This window comes from Homo sapiens, chromosome 18, assembly GCF_000001405.40.
Source record: "Homo sapiens chromosome 18, GRCh38.p14 Primary Assembly".
In the NCBI taxonomy this organism is placed as follows: Eukaryota; Metazoa; Chordata; class Mammalia; order Primates; family Hominidae; genus Homo; species Homo sapiens.
This window is the reverse complement of record NC_000018.10, coordinates 3,800,687-3,822,692: the sequence shown is the minus strand read 5'-3', so window position 1 is coordinate 3,822,692 and position 22,006 is coordinate 3,800,687. Positions and strand designations below refer to the sequence as shown.

At 39.9% G+C, this 22,006-nt stretch overlaps 1 protein-coding gene and 1 non-coding gene across 37 annotated transcripts in view, besides 1 other annotated feature; one reads left to right on the top strand and one right to left on the bottom strand.

Annotated features, from left to right (window-relative positions):
* Nucleotides 1-22,006, top strand: part of DLGAP1 (DLG associated protein 1) — a 959,276-nt gene that overhangs the window by 632,615 nt on the left and 304,655 nt on the right. For 29 of the 36 annotated variants that reach the window (NM_001398527.1, NM_001398526.1, NM_004746.4 and 26 more), the window contains one exon: nt 8,420-8,634. In NM_001398527.1, the coding sequence (NP_001385456.1) occupies nt 8,420-8,634 (215 nt within the window). Of the gene's footprint in view, nt 1-687; nt 802-8,419; nt 8,635-22,006 lie in introns of all 36 variants that reach the window. The other 7 variants (XM_047437934.1, NM_001398530.1, XM_017026080.2 and 4 more) reach the window with 1 other exon arrangement.
* Nucleotides 610-1,111: an enhancer, noted in NCBI's record as "NANOG hESC enhancer chr18:3821582-3822083 (GRCh37/hg19 assembly coordinates)". NCBI's record gives its function as "activates a minimal SCP1, AML or CMV promoter by ChIP-STARR-seq in primed H9 embryonic stem cells {active_cell/tissue: H9 hESC(primed)}" and the evidence as "EXISTENCE:reporter gene assay evidence [ECO:0000049][PMID:30033119]".
* On the bottom strand, nt 11,273-11,376 carry LOC124904368 (small nucleolar RNA U13). The gene has a single exon (XR_007066486.1). It is a non-coding gene; the product is annotated as a small nucleolar RNA U13 (small nucleolar RNA).

Below are 22,006 nucleotides of genomic sequence, written 5' to 3'. Positions count from 1 at the left end.
GCTATTTATCAGTGGCATTTGCACTTCACACACATATGTTCAATTTTTAAGGAACAGTTTCATCACCAGGAAAGGGGATTTATGGGAACAAGCTTCAAACCCAGTAGGAAATTCAGAGGTACTGAGATTTAATACTCGACTCAGCTTGACTTACTTAAAGCTGCTCTTTACTCGTTTCCTTCCTCCACCCTCCAGATTCACCAGATCCACTCAAAACTTATAAACTCCTTTAACACCAGAGACTGTGTTTTATAAAATGCTTTTGGTGTATTTACCCAGCCCCTGCTATGGTGCTGGGTACCCTGCAGATACTGTAAATGTTTGTGGGTAAGAATAATTCTACAGGGTCATGGTAAGCAAATTACCGTATGTATCACTGTTTACAATGTTCTATTCTTTCAAGATCATTTAAAAATGTTATTTGGAAGAGCTGTGACAAAGGGTATAAATTCTATTTAAAGAGGTAGGTATTTACTCTTATCCTTAAAAGGTAATTTTAAGCAATCTAAAACAAATTAAGTTTTCCACCAATTTCGGGCTTCCAGGGGAGTAAGAAAGGGCGGTTGCCAGGGAAATCTTCTCCTGATTGGGAAGCAACAATCATGCCTAGGGATCTGCACATTGCATAATTGTAATTTTCCTATTCTTGCTCTTTTTTTTTTTTTTTTCTGTTTTTGCTATGAGAAGAGCAAGCTAAAAAGGCTAAAGGGACATTTAAGCCAAGTCGCATTTGTCAAGGTGAAAGCTGTGTGGAGCAGAAAAGCAGTTCTCCCAGCTGCAAAGAAGATGCAAAGAAATCGAGTGAGTAGGGAATCTGAGAGCCCACTAAAAGTGCTTAGAAGGCCAACACATTACAGCCATTTCTCTAAAAAGTTGTAGGCAGGAACCTAAAGTCCAGGGTGGAGCCTTCTTACAAATGCTAAAACGCTGTTGGGATGCTTCAAGGCTCCCAAGCCACCCTTAAAGGTGTGGCTGTCCTGCAAGTTTTCTAATCACCCACTCCCTCCTCCAAACTGTTCATGCTTGTTTAAACAGCAGCTGCAAACAATACTTGGTAAGGCAGCCCCAGACCAGGAAACAACAACACTCTTTCACTTCAGAATTAAGTGTTTATTATTTTGAACCCTCTTTTAGCAGTGCTAGAAAATTAGTGACACGAGAACGTTTATGCTTATTTGAATGGTTACATTTTATTTTAAAAACCACGACTGTTGAGTGGGAGCGTGCACCCCATTCTCTTCTTCTTTTTTTTAGTTTATTGGTTCATTCACTTAATCATCACGGATTCATCAGAGGCAAGGTAATATTATTAAAAGCTTTGATGTCAGACAAATGCACATTTCTACCAATTATTATGACCTTGGGCAAGTCGTTTCATCTTTTTTTTTTTTTTTTTTTTTTTTTGACACAGAGTCTCACTCTGTCGGCCAGCTGGAGAGTGGTGGCACCATCATAGCTCACTGCAGCCTCAAACTCTTGGGCTCAAGCAATCCTCTTGTCTCAGCCTCCCAAATAGCTAGGACTATAGGCACATACCACCACCACACCAGCTACATTTAAAAAATTATTTTGTAGAGATGGGGTCTTGCTATGTTGCCTAGGCCGGTCTCAAACTCCTGGAATCAAGTGATCCTCCTGCCTTGGCCTCCCAAAGTGCTAGGATTACAGGCATGAGCCATTGCATTTTACCTTTTTGAATCTCAATTTTGAAGCAGTAAGATGGAAATAGTAATGCCTATTTCATACAACTGTTGCAAAGATTAAAATAAAGTAACATAGGCACTGCCCCTAGCTCATTGAGATTATTCCATAATTGTCAGATTTTTTCATGAATGTCAGATGCCTAACTCTCCTTTTTGAATCTCAATTTTGAAGCAGTAAGATGGAAATAGTAATGCCTATTCTATACAACTGCTGCAAAGATTAACATAAAGTAACATAGGCACTGCCCCTAGCTCATTGAGATTATTCCATAATTGTCAGATTTTTTCATGAATGTCAGATGCCCAACTCTCCTTTCATAATGTACATTTTTCTCCTCCTATTTACCATTCCTTTTCAAGCACAGGAAAGTCAAACAGGTTGATCCCTAAGTCACTGCCAAGCACCCTTATTTACCTGGCTGCTGTCATTGAAATACCTTGTGCTTGGGAAGGAATCAACAGCTGCTGAGGGGTAACTGTGCAAATAGAAGCCTATCCCTCATGCCCACCATTCAATTGCTACTTTTCCTTGCTCTACTGCCTTTGTTTTCACCAAATCAACCAAATGCCTAGGTTCCTTCCTCCCAGTTCTTTGGTTCCTGATGAAATAGAACTTTGCTTTATGTACTCACAGCCTTGGGTTCATCAGTTTTCCTCCCAAATCTCTGCAACCCAGAATAGCTCACAGAATCGCACAGGCCTGCCCTTGTATATTTTCAGGACATATGCTTCATTTCAGCTGTCCCGGCTTTCTAAGTGTCTTCATTCCTTTTGTGGCTCTCAGATTTCCCAAAATCTCACGCATTCTCATTACTCCACACCTCACCATGCAACTTCCCATCCTGAGATAATCCGCTCTCAAAGAGTCACGTGCACATGGCTTCATCTCTCAATCATCGTCTCACAGACCATCATTGGCACAGACTGTAATCTATTTAGCTACACTTTGATAACTGCAGCCCAGCCAAAGTGGGGCACTCAAGCTAGATGCCCTTGGGGAGAGACTTTTAAAACTAAGCGTTCCTACATCTGATAGAGTAGTTCTTGTAACTTTTCTTTCAAAGGGTTGTAACCCACTATTTGTTTATTAATTTTTTCCTTCAAACAGACCTTAAAACACTATGATATTATTTTCTTATCTAAAATATGTGCTTTGTAGTTTATCAAAAAATAACAATTGTTACCCAAAAGACATGTCAAAAGACATATATGAATATGCTAGAAGGGGGCGGGGGAGATTCCTGAACTGTGAATGGCAGACCTCAGCTTGGGCAGTGTCACCCTACACTAGTTACTAATCTCTCCTGACCTCAGTTTCTCTATTTGACAAACTGAGGTTATAATATTTACTCTTCATATCCTTCATGATAGTTGTAAGGATCATAAGACATTATGTGAACTTATGTTTTTTTCCAAACTCATGACATGATAAATGTAATTGCTTATATTAATTTGGTCATTACTAAATATGAACATTAAGTTCAACAATTACTATCCCAGAATAAATTCATTTCTTGTTTTTCTTCTCATACATATTTTTAAAAGGTTTTTAATTGATTCTAAGAGCCATAGTTTACACGTTTTAGCATTTTGGATATTGGGATAAATTATATATTCTATGGAGTGTCAGAATTTATTGATGATGTTTATTTCTTTCTTAGTGACACAAAAAATGTTGGGACAATTGCATTAGTATCTTAGATTCAGTAAAATGCGCAGTGGCACGATCTCAGCTCACTGCAACCTCCGCCTCCCAGGTTCAAGCGATTCTCCTGCTTCAGCCTCCTGAATAGCTGGGATTACAGGCACCCACCATCACGCCTGGCTAATTTTTTGTATTTTTAGTAGAGACGGGGTTTTATATGTTGGCCAGGCTGGACTTGAACTCCTTGCCTCATGATCTGCCCGTCTCGGCCTCCCAAAGTGCTGGAATTACAGGCATGAGCCACCGCGTCCGGCCGTGTGTTCCTCTTTCAACTGAGTTTAGGAAAACCTAAAGTGGGGGGAAATGTCAGCACCAAAAGATACTCCACTTCCAGCAGAGCCCATCCTTCAGTGCAGTGACATCATTTCAATTCAGAAAGCATTCTCATCCTGGCTGGGCACGGTGGCTCACCCCTGTAATCCCAGCACTTTGGGAGGCCGAGGCAGGCAGATCATGAGGTCAGGAGTTTGAGACCAGCCTGGCCAACATGGCAAAACCCCAATCCTACTAAAAATACAAAAATTAGCCAGGCATGGTGGCGGGCATCTGTAGTCCCATCTACTAGGGAGGCAGGAGAATCTCTTGAACCCAGGAGGCAGGGGTTGCAGTGAGCTAAGATCGTGCCACTGCACTCCAGTCTTGGTGACAGAGCGAGACACCACCTCAAAAAAAAAAAGGTATTGAAATAGTTCTTTCAATATGTTCAAGAGCAGCCTGGCCAACATGGCAAAATCCTGTCTCTACTAGCAATACAAAAAGTAGCTGGGCATGGTGGCACAGGCCTATAATTCTAGCTACTCAAGAAGCTGAGGCAAGAGAATCGCTTGAACCTGGGAGGTGGAGGTTGCAGTGAGCTAAGATCACGCCACTGCACTCCAGCTCAGGCAACAGAGCAAGACCCTGTCTCAAAAAAAAAAAAAAAAAAAAAAAAAAAAAAACCATCCCTACATCCCTATCCTGTAATTAGAGGATGTTAGCACTTGATTATGGCCATTTCTTAGTCAAGGGCAGGTCTTCCAGTTTTCTGAATGATAACATATGGTTTCAGTTATAGACGGGCTACCACTGAAATAGACAATGCACACTAATCCTCATTTTGTTTCATCAAAAATTAAGATCTCTGTTGGAGTGCTAATGCTTAAACATAATAATTAAAAAGCAATTAATCCTTTTTTCTCATCCATAACTACTATAAAATCTAACCTGTATTAGTTTGCTTTTATTATTATTTGTTTATGTTTGTTGAGTCCAACCCCCTCCTAAGCTGGTGCACACAAGCAGGGCATCCCACCAGCCTGAAATCAATGAGGACCTGCACTCTTTGTCTCTGCTCCAGCTTTCCTTCTACCAAGACTTCCAGCTCCTGAAACTGCCACCACAGTAATAACGCAGGCTTTTCAGAGACAGCTGCAAGGTTATCTTTTTCTTTGGATTTTCCTAAATCTTTTCTCTCTGTGCAGCTGAAATGGAAAGACACAGCAACCTCTGCCCAGCTCACAATAGCAGCTGCAGCCATGTAATTCTCCCTTTCTTTACAATCAAAAGGCAGTAACATTTCACTCTTTGGGCCTGGTATGCTTATCACTTTATATGCTTTCTTCTAAAACTATCTACCTAAGCAATGTCTCCCTTTTGCTTTAGGGTTTAAGAAACAAAAACTAAAAACTGACTCGATTATATCGATGTTAATGGCCCTTACAGTTCAGCAGTTGTGTTTTTCTTCTCCAAGGTCTCGATTTTCTGTCTTTACACTTTCCCTAGAACGGATTACTGTATTATTTTATGTGTAATCTTGTTGTATGCTACCTTTAGGTATATAAATAATGTATTACTATTCAAATTCCACTCCAATGGAAGTCACTTCCACATAACTTCTTAGCTGCTATCATTTGAAAAGTAAGATTAATTGAAAGATACACAGGTTAAATACTTCTCAGCTGGTTCCCTAAACAACAGTTACAGACTGTTTCTAGTATGAGCCCAAATTTCTACCATAAACTAACTTTGAAAAAAATATCTGAACAAAATTTGCCATGTTTTGTTGCATAAGCCATATGAGCTAATCAGTTTGTCATTAGTCTCTGACATACTCCAGAGAGCAATGCTTATGAACTTCACATCAGGATTGAGAAATAGCAAGTGTGGTGTGCGTCATCTATGACCCTCAGCTGTACCAAGTTAATTTTTAAAATGTAATTGCTAAACCTATAATGAGGCTCTGAAGATGATCATATCTATGCAGTGAGTCACCTGCCAATGCAAGGAAAACAAGACTGTTCTCAGCATTTATAATTTCCTGAGAAATCTTTGTTGCTGTGGTGATTTTGATGCTTTTACCTACAAAAGTAAAAACATTACATTGTTACTAGCATAATTAATAAATGACAAGTGTATCAAATGTGATGAGCACAAAGGTGTCCGGGACTATAATTGCTCAGTTCTGCAGGTGCCACAAAGCACAGCCTAGAAAGACAAGGAGCATTAAACAGTGGTCAAGATATGGCCCTAGGAACTGCCTCATTGAAACTCAGCCCCTTCTTAGCTGTAACTCTGAGTGAGCTACATAACTTTAGTGTCCTCATTTGTAAAATGGGAATAATAATAATACCACCCCTCCGCTGTGTGGATCAAATGAGCTGACATTTAAAAAGCACTTAGAACAGTGCCTGCACACAGGAGCACAATATAAGAATTTATTAAATAAAATGAACATGCTGCAGGGTGATGCTTCATCTTGGTTAGTACTTTTCAGAATTAGAACCTACAAACCACTGTTTTCAAGACCATGAATAGTAGCATCTCTTCAATCTGAAGTTCTTAGATCTAAACTTTCCAGTTATACAGGTGAATTAACAATTAAAAAGGAAAGAATTATGCTCTTTTAGTAGAACATCTATTCTCACTTCCTTAGAACCTATAATATTTAGAAATCTGTGTCTGATATGTGTGTGTGCTATTGTGGACAATTTTCTTAACACTTTAGGTTTCAAAGTGACATAAATCATAAAATTTTGATTAATATAATTTTGATCTTAGGAGTTAAACACCTCGAACCCTAGTGCTGCCGTTTTAGCTGTGTGTCCTTTGGCAAGTTACTCACCTTCTCTGACCTCCTGCTTCTCACCTGAGAAAAACAGAAAAATATGCACAGGTTGTTGTATTGATGAAATGAGATCTTATAGGCAATTTTTTTTTAGCACAGTTAAATGTTAATAATGAAGTACCATGTTATTTTAATGGATAAGCAGTAAATAGTTAACATCAAAATATTAAAAGCCTTTTTATTTTCTCATTGCAAACCTGGCCAATTCCAGGGAGCCTTTCCTGGATCCTCCTTTCCCATCACCATTACTGCTAACTCTCGTTTCTCTTCTCGTCTCTGTTATAAATATGTTGAGGGCAAGAACCAGCCTCCCCGTTTTTTGGTCTCTTTTACTTAAGCCTTGTGCAGTGCTCTGTCCACTATAGTATGTTTGCTATGTTACTTCTTAATGAATAAAAAGAGTGGTTATTATGCATTTTTTTTCACGTCATGAAAAATGAAGAAGGAATGAGATCTAGGTTGAGTTCATGTTGAAGTGGAAAATCTAAGAGGAACTGAAGAGAAAGTCATGAAGATGGCTTCTAAAACGTAGTGCAGTGCTCTGCTGAACTCAGAAAAAATGACTGTGGAAAGAAAAAAGAAGAGCAGTGCACTGACAATATGATTTTGTTGTGGTATCCACAGTTAGGGACTTAGAGTAGGATCCAGCAAAGCAAAAGGAAAGGAACAATTCAGACAAGTAGTAGCTACACCAGGTAAGTCAAGCAATCAGAAGGCCAAAAGGGGAGAAACTTGCAAAGAGGTGTTATTTGTGTGTATGTGTGTGCACGGGTGTGCAGAGGCCAAGAAAAAATAAAAGCAAGAAAATGCCATTATCTTCCATTAGGAGATCATTGGAAACCTTTAGAGAGTGCTTTAAGCAGATCTAAGGAAGCTGAATCCAAATTAAGAAAGATTCAGAAAGAATAAGTGACTGGGGAGTAAATGCAGCTGGTAGAGACCACTGGTTTAGGAAGAAGACAGACTGGATATGAGATGGTAAAGTCGAAAGGTTCAAGGAAGGCATAGATCAATCAGTAAACATTCCCGAATCTTAAATGGCAATTGAAAACAAATCACTGAAAAGCTCAAATAAAATTGCTCTCCTTTCAAATGGCATTCTTATGCCTGACTCAACTATTATCAGCATGAGAAAACTGAGATGTACAAATGATTCAAAGCCAATGGTTTTAATTTTTCCTACTACATGAGTCATGTTAAAGACTGAGAGACGTGGATTTGTACATATTCAAAATATTTATGAGCCTATTACAATAAAATATTGTTATTGAAAGGTTAATGTCTAAAGTTTCAGATAATTATATTACCAATATCCAGCACCATACCAAAAAAAGAAAATACTTGGTCTTATTTATACATTTTTAAATAACTAAGACGATAATTGGAATGTTTGTAACACAAAGAAATGACAAATGCTTGAGGTGATGGATACCCCATTTACCCTGATGTGATTATTACACATCGTATGCTTGTATCAAAATAGCTCATGTACTCTATAAATATATACACTTACTACGTACTCATAAAAATTAGAAATGTTAGCCTGTAATCCCAGCACTTTGGGAGGCCGAGGCGGGCAGATCACGAGGTCAGGAGATTAAGACCATCCTGGCTAACACGGTGAAACCCCGTCTCTACTGAAAATACAAATAATTAGCCAGGCGTGGTGGCAGGTGCCTGTAGTCCCAGCTACTCAGGAGGCTGAGGCAGGAGAACGGCATGAACCCAGGAAGCAGAGCTTGCAGTGAGCCAAGATTGCACCACTGCACTCCAGTCTGGGCGACAAAGCAAGACCCCATCTCAAAAAAAAAAAAAAAAAATAGAAATGTTAAATCTAAAAAAAAAGAAAAAGAAAAGAAAAAGGTAGGCTTTTATAAAAAGTGATTTATCTGTTTTCTATCTGAATAGGTTCCACAAGATGAATGGACAGGGTACACCCCACGAGGTAAAGATGATGAAATTCCATGCCGAAGAATGCGGAGTGGCAGTTATATCAAGGCCATGGGGGATGAAGACAGTGGAGACTCAGACACGAGTCCTAAGCCTTCTCCAAAAGTTGCTGCGCGGAGAGAAAGCTATCTCAAGGCTACTCAGCCATCCCTTACAGAACTCACCACACTCAAGTGAGTAGTCCTAACCCTGCACTTGCGATAGTCCAGGTGCTTGTATTATCACCGAGGCTCAGATGGTGTGTCTCCTAGAGTAAGTGGGGCAGAAACATCCTACAGGTGGAGCAGTGCAGTACATTGATTGTGACTTTAGATCTGACGTCCGTACCCCAGTCCCTTTGTAGAGAGAGGCAACAGATGTGTTCTGCATTGATCATAAGCTGAACCCCTCATCTCTAAGAAGCAGAAGAAATCCCATCTTTTCAGAAGCCATTCTGGATTTAAAAGAATCCAGAATGGCTTCTGAAAAGGATTGAAATTTCTGGTCAATGAGAATATACATGTATCCCAATTCTTGAACGTTTGCTCAGGCACGAAGTACACACAAGAACTTTTTCTTAAGACTCTTGAATTTTTCAGATAATTGAGTAACATAATAGAAGAGATTGTCTTAGAGAAGCTTATAGAGTGTGACCGTGCTTTAAAATTGGATATGTGAAGGTTCTTGACATACATTTTTAAATTTGGGCACTCGATATGTATTACAATTGAAGGCCTTAAAAAGGTTTTGTTTTGCAAATATAAATATAGTCATACATCATTTAAGGACGGAGCTACATTCTGAGAAATGCATCATTAAGCGATTTCACTGTGCACACATCATAGAGTACACTTACAAAAACTTAGATGGTCTAGCCTATTACACACTTAGGCTATATGGAGTGGCCTATTGCTCCTAAGTTGCAAACCTATACAGCAAATTACTGTACTGAATGCTGTGGGCGACTCTCACACAATGGTAAGTATTTGTTTATGTAAATATATCCAAACATAGAAAAATACAGTAAAAACACAGTATTATAATCTTATGGGACAACCATATTATATGCATCATTAACTGAAATGTCGTTGTGCAGCATATGACTGTAGTCCTTAACTGTATTTGTGCTGTTTGTAAACAAAGAATAGCGCTACGCAGGAAACCACTGAGATTGATTATTTTAAGCAAGACCTGATTTCATTCTAAATGCTGTTTATAGAGAGTAAATTCTTTAGAGTCTTGGAATGTAGAAATAGATAGAATTCCATTTGGACCTGAAAAATATATTACGGATAATTCGTATTTTTAAGTGCCTTTGATTCCATATTTTGATGAAATGAACATTACTATTCATGCATTTATGTTACTAAATAAAATATTAAAAGGCAAAATAAAACAAAAAATCAAAGCAGTCGAGTTAAGGAAAACAAACCCAATTGTTAATCAAGAGCACTGAAAAACAGCTGACTATTGTGCGATGGGAATTTATTTAAATAGCAGAGTATGTTGTATTTTAAAGATCCGGACAGAGACGGCCTCCCATGAATTATTTTTCAAGGGTTCATGTGGAACAATTCTGGATCATTTTAATCAAAAATTAATACCAGTGCATCAGTAAATTAAGCCAAGAAAAAAACCTCTTCCTTCTTTCTTTGGCTTCCAGTTGCCCTTCCTCTTTGCCTTTATTACTACATGTGTTACTTTTCAAGAATCATCAGAACAAACTACCACAAACTTGGTGGCTTGATTAGATCTACAAAGACTCTATTTCCAGATAAGGTCACATTCACCGATAGTAGGAGTTAGGACTTCAATATATCTATTTGGAGAACAGAATTGGACCCAAAACATTGCCACACAAGGTAAAAAAAAAAAAAAATTCGTGGAAATAAAAAACAGAAACAAGTCTTCATTGCACTTTGGCGCGCCTAGCAGAAGCTCAGAAAATTAAATTAGAAGAACTGGATTTGTAAGAAAGGCAGTGGACCAAGGTGACATGAAATGAGGGAGGCCAAGGACCCTTCTGAAAAAAAAATTCTTCTATGGACCTTAAAATATCTCTCCACTAGACACAATGTTAGGTAGTCATGGCCATAGGGTTAACATCTTCCAGAAGATGCAAGAAAAGGATTGCAATGGGCAAGAAAGTCACTTAAACCGGCAACCTCCAGAGTCCTTTCCACCTCCTAAGTATCCCGTTAGGTTGTCATCAAGATGCATTGGTCACATTCACTGAGTGACACTTTGGGTCTTGGGTGATAAGATAGAGGAATTGCTCTTGTCCACAGCAATACCCAGGTAAGAGGAGAACAGAAAGATGTAGAGCCATGAGGAAGATGAGAAGAGTGCTCTGAGGAGACTGAGGACAGGGCTAGAGGGTAGGGGCTGAAATCAATGTCACAATTGTGCCCTGGGCTACTCTCATAGCTTCAGGATGTGGAGGATCACTCTGAAGTCATTGAAACTCTTTCTTTCTCATTTGCCTTCTTCACAATATGACCCTCCTCCAACGTCCTGGACCGTATTTTTGTGACCACCATATATTTCTTTTACTGCTCAGAAGTTTTCAGAGCAGAAAGAGGCAAACATGCAGATGACAGCTAGGCTGATGGTAGAGGGTCAGCTCCTTCAGACGGTGAAGTTGTTGAACTGGGTATGAGTTAGTGACTGCTATTTCATCCCTCCCCACTTACAGAAATTCAAAGTGGTGATAAATGGACAGGAGAACACCTACTAAATTGAAAACATTTTACTTAGGATGGAGTTTCCCCACACCATTTCTGTTGTCCCCTGTTCTTTGGCAGGAAAGAGAACTTTTTTTTCCTATGTTTATGTAAGACGGATAGTGTGCCAACATCATAACAAGGTTTGAAGGAAGCACATCTCATATATTACTGTGAAAACTCAATCATTATGATTATGATCCACAAAAGGATCACAAGAGAACCTTAGACAACCATTCAAACATATCTTCCTTCCCTGTGCTACCATCACATCCCCTAGAATCATTTCTCATAGTTCCACTTACCTCCATTCGTTTCACACTCACCTATTTTATGAGTTCCCTTTGTCATTACAGTCTACACATTAAACCTCCGTCATCTTCAACTGCATACAATTGTTAGTGACCTCTAGTTTAACCAGATTGGCCTGGCACGGTGGCTTACACCTGTAATCCCAGCACTTTGGGAGGCCAAGGTGGGCAGATTGCTTGGGCCCAGGAGTTCGAGACCAGCCTGGGCAACATGGCAAAACCTTGTCTCTACAAAAACTACAAAAATTAGCTGGGTGTGGCGGCGTGCACCTGTAGTCCCAGCTACTCGGGAGGCTGAGGTGGGAGGATCATTTGAACCCAGGAAGTCAAGGCTGCAGTGAGCCATGATTGAGCCATTGCACCCCAGCCTGGGCAACAGAGAGAGACCCTGTCTCAAAATTAATTAATTAATTAATAGTTTAACCAGATTGAAAGAGATACAAAAGAAAAAAAGGAAAATACACTATAGAGGCAAAAATTCAGACATGACATGACTCATAATCAATTCTGTCTTTCATTCCTTGATGATGTTTTGACTGCAGATCATTATTTTTCTAGAAGTTTGAAGGATTCAGTCCCTTATGAGAAAAAAGATCCCTATATCCTGGAATTCTAGTTCCTCAAAAAAGAAAACTATATTTATGTTCCTACTTCTTTGACATTTAAGTCGATTTTTTTTTCCCTCCTTCCTCCTCAGTAATTCACAGCTTTAGGGATGAATCATAGCCCTGAACCAAGATAACTAAAATTAGGCAAGTGAGATTGGGGCAACATTTTGTTTAAGGTTTTCAACTCCCATCTTCTCTCAGAAATGTTGAAGAGAAGGCACTCCTACACTTTCTTACATTGTTTTTCTCTTTTCTTTTCTATTTTCCGAAGGCATCTTGAGGGTTTATTTATGTGGGTGGTTTTTCATCAGCTGCTTAGTGTTAGTTATTGGGTCCTCAGACATATAAGGCCTAAGGTCAGTTAAACATTCTGGTGTTAGGAGTAGTTTTGAGACAATGAAGTCCATCTTTGGGCCAGCAAAACCCCTCCTGTAGCTACTCTTGGAAAACTATTATTTCGGTCACTCTCTTCTCTTATCCCACAGCTATTAACAAATCACTCCACCTCATCACTAGCTTTTCCTTCTTCCTTACTTATTAGCTAACAATAAATTTGAAATGGCGTATCACCCAAGAATATTAGCATTTTCAAAAAAATTCTGAATGTTTAATAGTAAATTTCCAGGCAAGTAGAGGAGACATTTAGGGGCCAGAGTTCCCTCAAAGCATGTTGTTGCAGCCTGGCACTGATGAAGAACTTAAGTCTCTTACTTGGAGTGCCATTTATTCTAGAACTGAGACTACTGCCTGCTACCATGATTAGTTAAAACCAAGTCCAAATCCCATCTGGGACTTTTATTTGATACACTGCAGAAAGAACTTTTTAAAAATTATATTAAGTGGGGTGTCATTTAAAAGATTCTGAAGTTAAATTCAAATATCTGTTAATCCTACATGAATAATAGTTTAAAGTGTCTTAATACTTCATCTCTTTATCCAAGCACTAAGAAAAATTCTCCCCCTGGAAGAAATAGTCAGTCTATAATATTACAGATTTTGAAACTCCTCTGAAACTGGGGAGAAGGATTCCAGGCTGTTGCAAGAGAGCCAGTCAGAGCTCCTAGCAATTTTGATAAAGTGTCTAACAAAAGGCTTCAGGAAGATTTATTTTCAGTTCTAAATGCCTTGAAGGCAAATCATTTTTCATTTTCAGGATGGTTAATCCTCTTAATCTTCATTTTTCCCCCTGGCCCTGAACCTTTGTTTGTTTGTTTGTTTTAGATAAATTGGAAAAATTTAAATTTAAATTTGGAAAAATACTAAGTAGCTGTGTGCCTTTTGGCAAATTGATTAATGTCTCTGAACCTCCTCGTAAATGAGAGTCTCAGTCTCTTAGCGTGGATGGCACCACTTGGGCGGCTCTCCCTACAACTCCTCCCACCCCAAACCTGTGGAAGACAGCATTAGCCAATCCCAGCATTGATGGATTCCATCACCCTACCCATTGAGAACAGACTGAGCCCCTGAACCAGTCTCAATGCAGTGCTCCAGCCACCATGATTCATCGATCCGAGATGCCCACAGGTGCTATCCTTAGTCTACAGGAAATGTCTCCCAGGAACCTTTCAGCACTGACGTGTATAATTGTAAGAACAAGGCACAGTAGAGTAGTGGTTCACAGTTTAAAGACAAAAGGAAGTAGTATTGGTAAAGAAAATAATTTGAGAAGAGGTAGATGGAGTGTTCTTCTTCAACTTTAATTCTGGATATTTTAAATGCATTGATTTCTACGTGAGGAGCCCAAAACCATAGCCTCTTGCTGGAGTCTCTTTTGTTGTTGTTGTTGTTTATCTTGTATACGTTTTTTGCTCCCCTTTTCTCCTCCTGGACATGCTGTGTCCTTGCCTGTTCCTCACGTCATACACTCCCCTCCTACCTACCTACTGCTCCTCGTTTTCCTTTTCTTGTTAGAGAAAGAGGGGGATGGGATGAAGATTGGAGCATCGCTATTTTTTCCCCAAAGATATGAACTGTATTGGGAACATAGCAATTTGTATCATCCCATCTCTGTTCTAAGTAGTATGAAATGTCTCTGTTTTGCCTAAATGCTTTTTTGTTCCTCTCCTACCTGTTCCTCCGTATCATTGTAACGTATAATAGCAAATGCTCCTCACAAAGTAGGGAGAACAAGAAAATACAACCTGCCACACGAAATTGTGAATTTACGTCCTCAGTGATCAGTGATATAAACCCAGGGTAGTGTCCCATTCTTCCCTGACTATAATACTTTCTTCTATTATCCTCTATACTTCTAACTCCCCACTCCCACTTTCCAATATAATAAGAAACGCGACCTGACTATAATACTTTCTTCTATTATCCTCTATACTTCTAACTCCCCACTCCCACTTTCCAATATAATAAGAAACGCGACACGTTTAAAACAGGGAAAGTCATTCTTGCTCACAGAAAAATTATCACTTGCTCATCTACAAATTATCTAAATACCTTTCAAATATTTGTTAGAAATCAGCTTTATTTAAAAAAGAAAAAAACAGCTAATACAAGCAATCGCCTATTACATTGAGTCCCAGATCACCACTCCTAGTTTTTAAAAAAATGTTCCTTCATTGGGATATGAATGCCCTCCTCCAAATGATGTGGGCATGTGTGAGTATTGTAGTCTGTACCAAATCCTGGTTTCTTGCTATATAATTACTCTTTAGAAAAGCCTGTGTTGAAAGGAAGCCTGTGTTGAAAGGAAGCCTGCGTAGACTGAAAAGTCTCTACAATGATCATGACTATAGAGAGGAGAGAACTCCTTGTGTGCCTTTAAAGGAGGCAAAAGAATAAAAGAAAGTCCCGATACTTTTCTAGAGAGAAGGAATGAGACATTTTTAAAAGTTAAGAGTCAGGGATTGGGGGAGGGAGAGAGCATCAGGATAAATAGCTAATGCATGCTGGGCTTAATACCTAGGTGATGGGTTGATAGGTGCAGCAAACCACCAGAGCACACGTTTACCTATGTAACAAACCTGCACATCCTGTACACGTATCCCAAAACTTAAAATAATTTTTTTTTAAGTAGGAGGGATATTTACATTTTAACAAGGTTCTAAGTGCCTGACTGAGTGCTACGGGCTTTACATACGTGTTTTCTTTTGATCATCAGAACTCTATGCATGCAATTTTGCCCATTTTACAAATGACAAATTTCCATCTCAGAGAGATTAAATAACTTTTTTAAGGTTACCTATCAATCAAATGTCAGAGCTAAGATTTGAGCCCAGGTGTTGAAACCAGAAAAGATAAAAAGCTGGACGGAAAGTTGAACTTACTAAGACTGCAGTGATGAGCTATTTAAAAGATGTTTAATAATGGAGGGGAAAGGAAGATCAACTGGGTGTGGACAACTGAGAAGTGGTACCCAGGAAAAACAGACATTCAAAACAGATTGTGAGAGTGAAGCATGGATTTGAAGGGGCGTCAGAAGCCTGCAGTGAAGTGAGTTCTGAGTCGCAAGTGTAAACATCAGACATGCAGCTGAAACAGGAAGGATCTTGAGAACATCTTGACTCAGGCTTAGCCTCAGGTGCAGGAAAGAAGGACCAATGACCAAAGGATCAGAGCTGCAGAAGGCGCTGGCTGACAGAGGACACAGGAAGAAGGGACGGACTCTTAGGAGCCTGGGTTCAGCTCTGTGGAGACTAATACAATAATGAATCCTGGGCCTTCTCTGTTCTGTGGCTTACCATGTGTAACCTGAACCTTCTTCAAAGGATGGCAGACCAGGTTTGCACCCTTGACAGCTGGCTTCAAGGGGCTGTGTAAACAAAGCCCTAAGACAGCAGAGGGAGGGGAGCAGGGAAGGCCCTGGCTAAGGTTTCTGGCAACAAAGACTCCTCACTTCCTTTAGGTAGTGCTGATCAGAGATGCTGCCCACTGTCCTTCCAGGACGGCTTCTCTTTGCAGAGAGCCTCAAAATTCCTTCGTCTTTTCTGTCTGCCACCTGCCATTTATTCAATTTAATATCTATGTTCCCGTTAAAGTGCAGACAACGAGGTAAAGAGAACACCCTAATTACAATCACAAATTATATTCATGCAATCACTCACTCACTCATTTATTCATGCAACAAACATTTGGTACCTTTAATAATTTAAGTACTGTGTCCATCATTTATACCTTGGTTTCAATATTCACTAAATGCTTTACTAAAATCTGGTTTTCCAGAGTCAAGTGGAAGAGAAAAATACACACAGACACATACACACACACGAGTCTAAGAATGGCAAAAGCAGGCACTACAAAGAAGAAAGGAACTTAAAATTCAGAGGCTGGCGGTGTTAAAATTGATAGTTTTGGTCAAAATTATTTTCTGATGAGAAAAATCTGCATTGCCTGGCATAAGAAAGGATTGTGGTTTTTTGTTTCTTTTTGTTTTTGTTTTGTTTTGTTTACAGGTTACTATTTTGTCAGCATAGTTCGTTATTAGCTTTACTTTTGCTGTATCATTTATTATTAAAGAAATTCTTCTTATGCATGCAGATGGAAGACATTTTGCAGGAATGAGAAAAGCTTCTTTAAAAGGAAGCCTAGGTGGACATATTAGGAGCTGCCTCTAATCCTTTTTAGAAGCAAGCTGGGTGTAAGTCCTAAATAAATGTATCTTTACAGAAGATGCATTTGAAATAGCAACATCATCAACATTCCTATCTATAAACCAGGAGGAAATGAGATCAAAATTGCAGCCCAAGGAATTCAGGTTAGCTGCAAGGAGGAACTTCTAAGTGCAAAGTTATTAATTATCACATCAATTAATTTGGAAATTGTTAGAGAAAACTTCCAAGGCCTCTTTTGAAACAAGCTGAGTTATATTCCTCTGAGACCTTTGATAATTCTGCCTGAGCAAGACAGACAAAATATCTATATAAGATCTTTACAGCCTAAAGAGTCTAAGACTTTAGCATAAGATCTGCACCATCGTCTGATCATGTGCATTGATCCTGTATTTTCAAGCTCAGCATTCAGGAAGAAGAGATTTCAAAGCACCCACATAACACAGTACTCCCTAAATATATCACTTCTCTTCCTGACACTTCCCTTTCTATCAGTGGAATGACCATTTTTTAAATACAGTCTTGAAACTTTGCAACTCACCTCTTACCTCTTCCAGCTTTACTATTTTTCACTTGAGTGATTGCAATGGACCAATTTGTATTGACGCCCCCAGCCTCTCTCTGCTCCAACTCCTTCTCTAAGACTTTCTACCAGGTTGCTAAAAAATTATCTCTGAATCCCATGTTGTCTAGGCACAAAGTTCCAAATGTAACATTCAAAAGTGTCACAGTAAGACACCATTCTCCTTTGAGATCTTCTTTCCTGCTATTCCCTTACAAGCACAGAACACTTGTATGGGAAGTAACATCACGCCACTTCAACAAGCCACTGGTTGTTCAAGGGTAATTATGCAGATTCGAGAAGGTGCAGTGTATGTGGCGCACTTAGCACAGTCCCTGGCACACAGTAGTTGCTCCACATATGTTAGCTATCGCCATCATTATTATCAGTTTTGGCCACCTACTATGTGCTAAGCATTGGGATATATTATAGTAGTCAGGATTCCCAGTACAACAGAACTTGCGATCTAATGGGGGAGAAGATGAGAAGAAAGTCTCCATTCTTTTAAATCTTCTTCTCAAATTTAACCTCTGGCTGTCAGCCATTATTTCTTCCTCCTAAGAATTCCCGAAGCACTGTGTTAACATTTCTCAAGGTAATATAGCTTTCTTAAGCACTGGTTTATTTTCTCTGTCCCTCGTGTAGGAAGAGATTCAATGCTATCTGAAAGAATGTTTTTGAAGCACTTGGCACAGAGTCGTCATCCCAGAGGGGATGTTGAACAAATGCTAACGCATCATTACACAATCCCTCTATGCCTAAAGTGCCCTGAACAGTACCCTCCATGAGTAACTTTAATGCGCAGTGGTTGAGTTGAGCTGCCATCTAACATCTGCCCAGCATCCTTTCACTGCGTCTGTGTTCTCTTCAATTCTTCCCCCTCCCTCTGCTTCTGAATCTGTGGTTCTCTGAAAAGCTCCCTGTTCCTTCTCAACCCTACTTTGCATTGCCAGCCCACCTGGAGGCTGGGAGCTCAGTCTGGCAGGTACACATTAGCATGTTAAAAATATCCACGCAGCCATCCCTAGTATTGTTATCCACTTTGAATATTAGCGTATTTCCTTCAGTTCATCTGGGGAATCCCAGTTCCTTCTAGTTCTATGAGGGGGCAGGGAGCACCAGCATTAACTAGTCCTTTTGAAGTTGGGAAGGGTGTTCTTCAATGATCACATTAACTACTGCAACATTCTTTAAAAATTATCTGTGGCTGGGCTTGGTGGCCCATGCCTGTAATCCCAGCACTTTGGGAGGCCAGGGCAGGCAGATCACTTGAGGCCAGGAGCTCAAGACCAGCCTGACCAATATGGCAAAACCCCATTTCTACTAAAAATACAAACATTAGCTGGGTGTGGTGGCGTGCGCCTGTGATCCCAGCTACTCAGGAGGCTGAGTCACTTGAACTCGGGAGGCAGAGGTTGCAGTGAACCAAGATCTTGCCACTGTACCCTAGCCTGGCCGACAGAGCCAGACTGTCTCAAAAAAAATTATATATATATATATATATATATATATATATATATATATATATATATGAACCTACATAAACCAATGAAGAGAAAATATCATCTATCCTGATAGCTAGTAATATTTTAATTTTCTTCCTATTGTTTAACATAAATAAGTATAAATAACAGTCATCAAATGTTTTTAGTACATATGATAAGATCCTCCCAACGGTGTCAGAAGGAATTTCGAGTTGATTTTTAACCAACACTTTACTGATACACCAAGGCTTTCTCATGGTTGTGAGCCTCACGAGGCAGAGCCTGGGTCTTCGGCTCCAGCCCTCTACTTTCTCTCCAACTTCTTTCCTCCCACTGACTCATGAAACTCTGAGGACTTTTCCCTGAACAGTCTGGAGACTGTTTCCACCATCTGTACATTGTTCTTGACTTACAGCTCAGAACCTTCTTTTAGTTCTTTGGACCACACCTCTTTCCCAGAAAAGGCAGAGCTGAGAGCTCTCGGAACAGATCCAAATTACCAACTGCATATAAAATTGCCACCACCTCGGTAGCATCATTCCTGTGCCAGATTCCAAAAGAGATGGACACTGCTGTGGGTACAAGTGCCTGAGAAGACTGGCCTCCTCCTGGGGTTTGTGCCTTCAGAGCCTGGGTTTGAAAAGCCAAGCTGGGAGCACTTTCCATTGTCGTCGCCTTCTCCACTCAGTGAAGAAAGATTGTGTTGGAGTTTTAGAGTGAGAGAAGCTGGAGACGAAGCTAGCTGGCTGTGCTCATCTAGCCTGAGGCTGCATTTCTTCATTGAAAGGAGCCACTCCACAATGCTAGGGGGGGTCCAGTCGTCCAATGAGAGCCAATGGTGGACATCTCTTCCCAACTCCATATTCAGTTTTGTCATCCTGGGAGCCTGATATTGGCCGTGATGGAAATATTTACACCATGGAAATCGACACGCTCTACGAGGCAGAGCTTCTTCCTCCCAAAAAGTCAGTTTCTAAACATTTACCACTTTACCAATGGCATTATTTTTAGGTAGCCTTTCTTCAGAGAGAGAATGAATAAAAAATCTTAGAAGCAAAACTAAAAGGATCCTCAAAGATGATTCCAACCCTTTTATATTGCAAATGAGGATATGGAGGCCCCAAGTAAAGAGGTGCCTCGCTTAAGCTCTTCAGCAAGGTTTAGGACCCAAGTCATCTCACTCTCAACCAAGACTTCTTTCCAGAGGAATCAAAGTTTTCAAGCTGCTAAATGCCCTGAGGGAGACAAGAGAGCTATAAGGCTCTGTCTCCACTGCACATATACGATTCAGTGCCGCCAAGAGCAATGAAAACAATTTTGTATCATTATTTGTAAGTTTTGAAATTACATTATGTATGTTACCGCTAACTAAAAGTGCTATATTTGTCCAAAAAAAAGAAAAACTAATAGGAATTGAAAATAGGAAGGGATGACTTCATGAAAGAGAAAGGATTCGATTTGGAATCTGAATAATCACTGAGAGGCAACAGACTACGGAGGAGGAATTTTGTCTGAGTATAAAGAAATTAAGCTGACTGATGTATTAGAAGAGTATTTAAAAATGGGAAGCCATCTTTGGATAGAAAGTGAGGACTTTTCTAAGTAAGATCCTTACATATCCAGAGAATTCATTTTGTTTTAATAAAGTGAGCAATAGGAAACCACTGATAGCCGAGCCAGATAATGAAGTGATGTAAGTGTTGTTTTAGAAAGATGGCCTGCGTGGCGGGGTCGGTGGCTCATGCCTGTAATCCCAACACTTTGGGAGGCCGAGGCGGGCGGATCACAAAGTCAGGAGTTCAAGACCAGCCTGGCCAATATGGTGAAACCCCATCTCTACTAAAAATACAAAAATTAGCCAGGCATGGTGGCACACACCTGTAGTCCCAGCTACTTGGGAGGCTGAGGCAGAATAATCACTTGAACCTGGGAGGCAGAGGTTACAGTGAGCCAAGATCACGCCACTGCACTCCAGCCTGGGTGACAGAGCAAGACTCCATCTCAAAAAAACAAACAAACAAACAAACAAACAAACAAAAACACAGATGGCCTGCGTGGCGTGGAGTCAAAAAGCCAATTACAAGAGAGATTTTTTTTCTTATTTAGATGAAAGTATATTCTATATTATTTACATGAGTATATATGTATGGAAGGATATCTTCTAACATCTCAGCAGTCATTCTTCTCGTGAAGAGGCTTTCTGGGTGGTTTTTGCTGCATTTCTTGTGCTTTTCTCTTACTTTTTTCTTTTGGCTTCTTTATTTGTTTTTCTTGTTGAAATATATCTAATTTTAACCCCCCAAAAAATCACCTTGAAGAATAGTAATGACTAACACTTAGAAGCACTTCCTCTGTGCCAGACACAATTCACATAATAACTAATAGTACCTATAAGACAAGAATCATTATTAACTAGGTTATACAAGGAGGAAACTGGGGCACATAAATTTAATTGACTTTCCAAGGTCACAGAGCTAGAAGTGTCACAGTCGGGATTTGAATTCAGAGCCCATGTTATCAACCACTATACTAGCCTGCCTCTAGATGAGATAGAGAGAGACAAATTGGAGACAGTTTGAAATCAAGTAAGAGACAAGAGAAAGTTGTACTGCTGCAGGGAAAGAATGGTAGAAGCAGAGATTAGGATGGTACCGGAAAGGGCTGATATACGAAGTTACACAGATAAATAAGGACACCAAAAATCAAAAGCCAACCAAGGACAGGTGGTATAGTTTGGGTGTTTGTCCCCTCCAAATCCCATGTTGAAATGTAATCCCCAGTGTTGGAGGTGGGGCCTGGTGGAAGGTGTTTGGGTCTTGGGGGCGGATCCCTAATGAATGGCTTGGTGCCGTCCTCATCAACACGACTGGGTTCTCACTTTGAGTTCACGCAAGATCTGGTTGTTCAAGAGTGTGGCACCTCCCCACCCTCTTGCTCCCTTGCTCTCACCGTGTGTCATGCTGACACCCTGTCATCTTCAGCCATGATTGTAAGCTTCCTGAAGACTCACCAGAAGCAGCTACCAGCACCGTGCTTCCTATAAACCCTGCAGAATCATGAGCTGATTAAAACCCTTTTCTTTATAAATTACCCAGCTTCAAGTATTTCTTTCTAGTGACCCAAAAACAGCCTAATACCACAGGTCAGATCTCCTTGTTGCTGCTGCTATTATTTTGTCTTGCTTGCCGTAGTGATACGCCATTCTCCAATATACACCATACCCACATGTCTCTTTTTTATTTAGAAATAATGGGAAGATTTCCTTTTTTATTATTACAAAATATAATACTCATAAAAATTTTAACACCACCAAGAAATA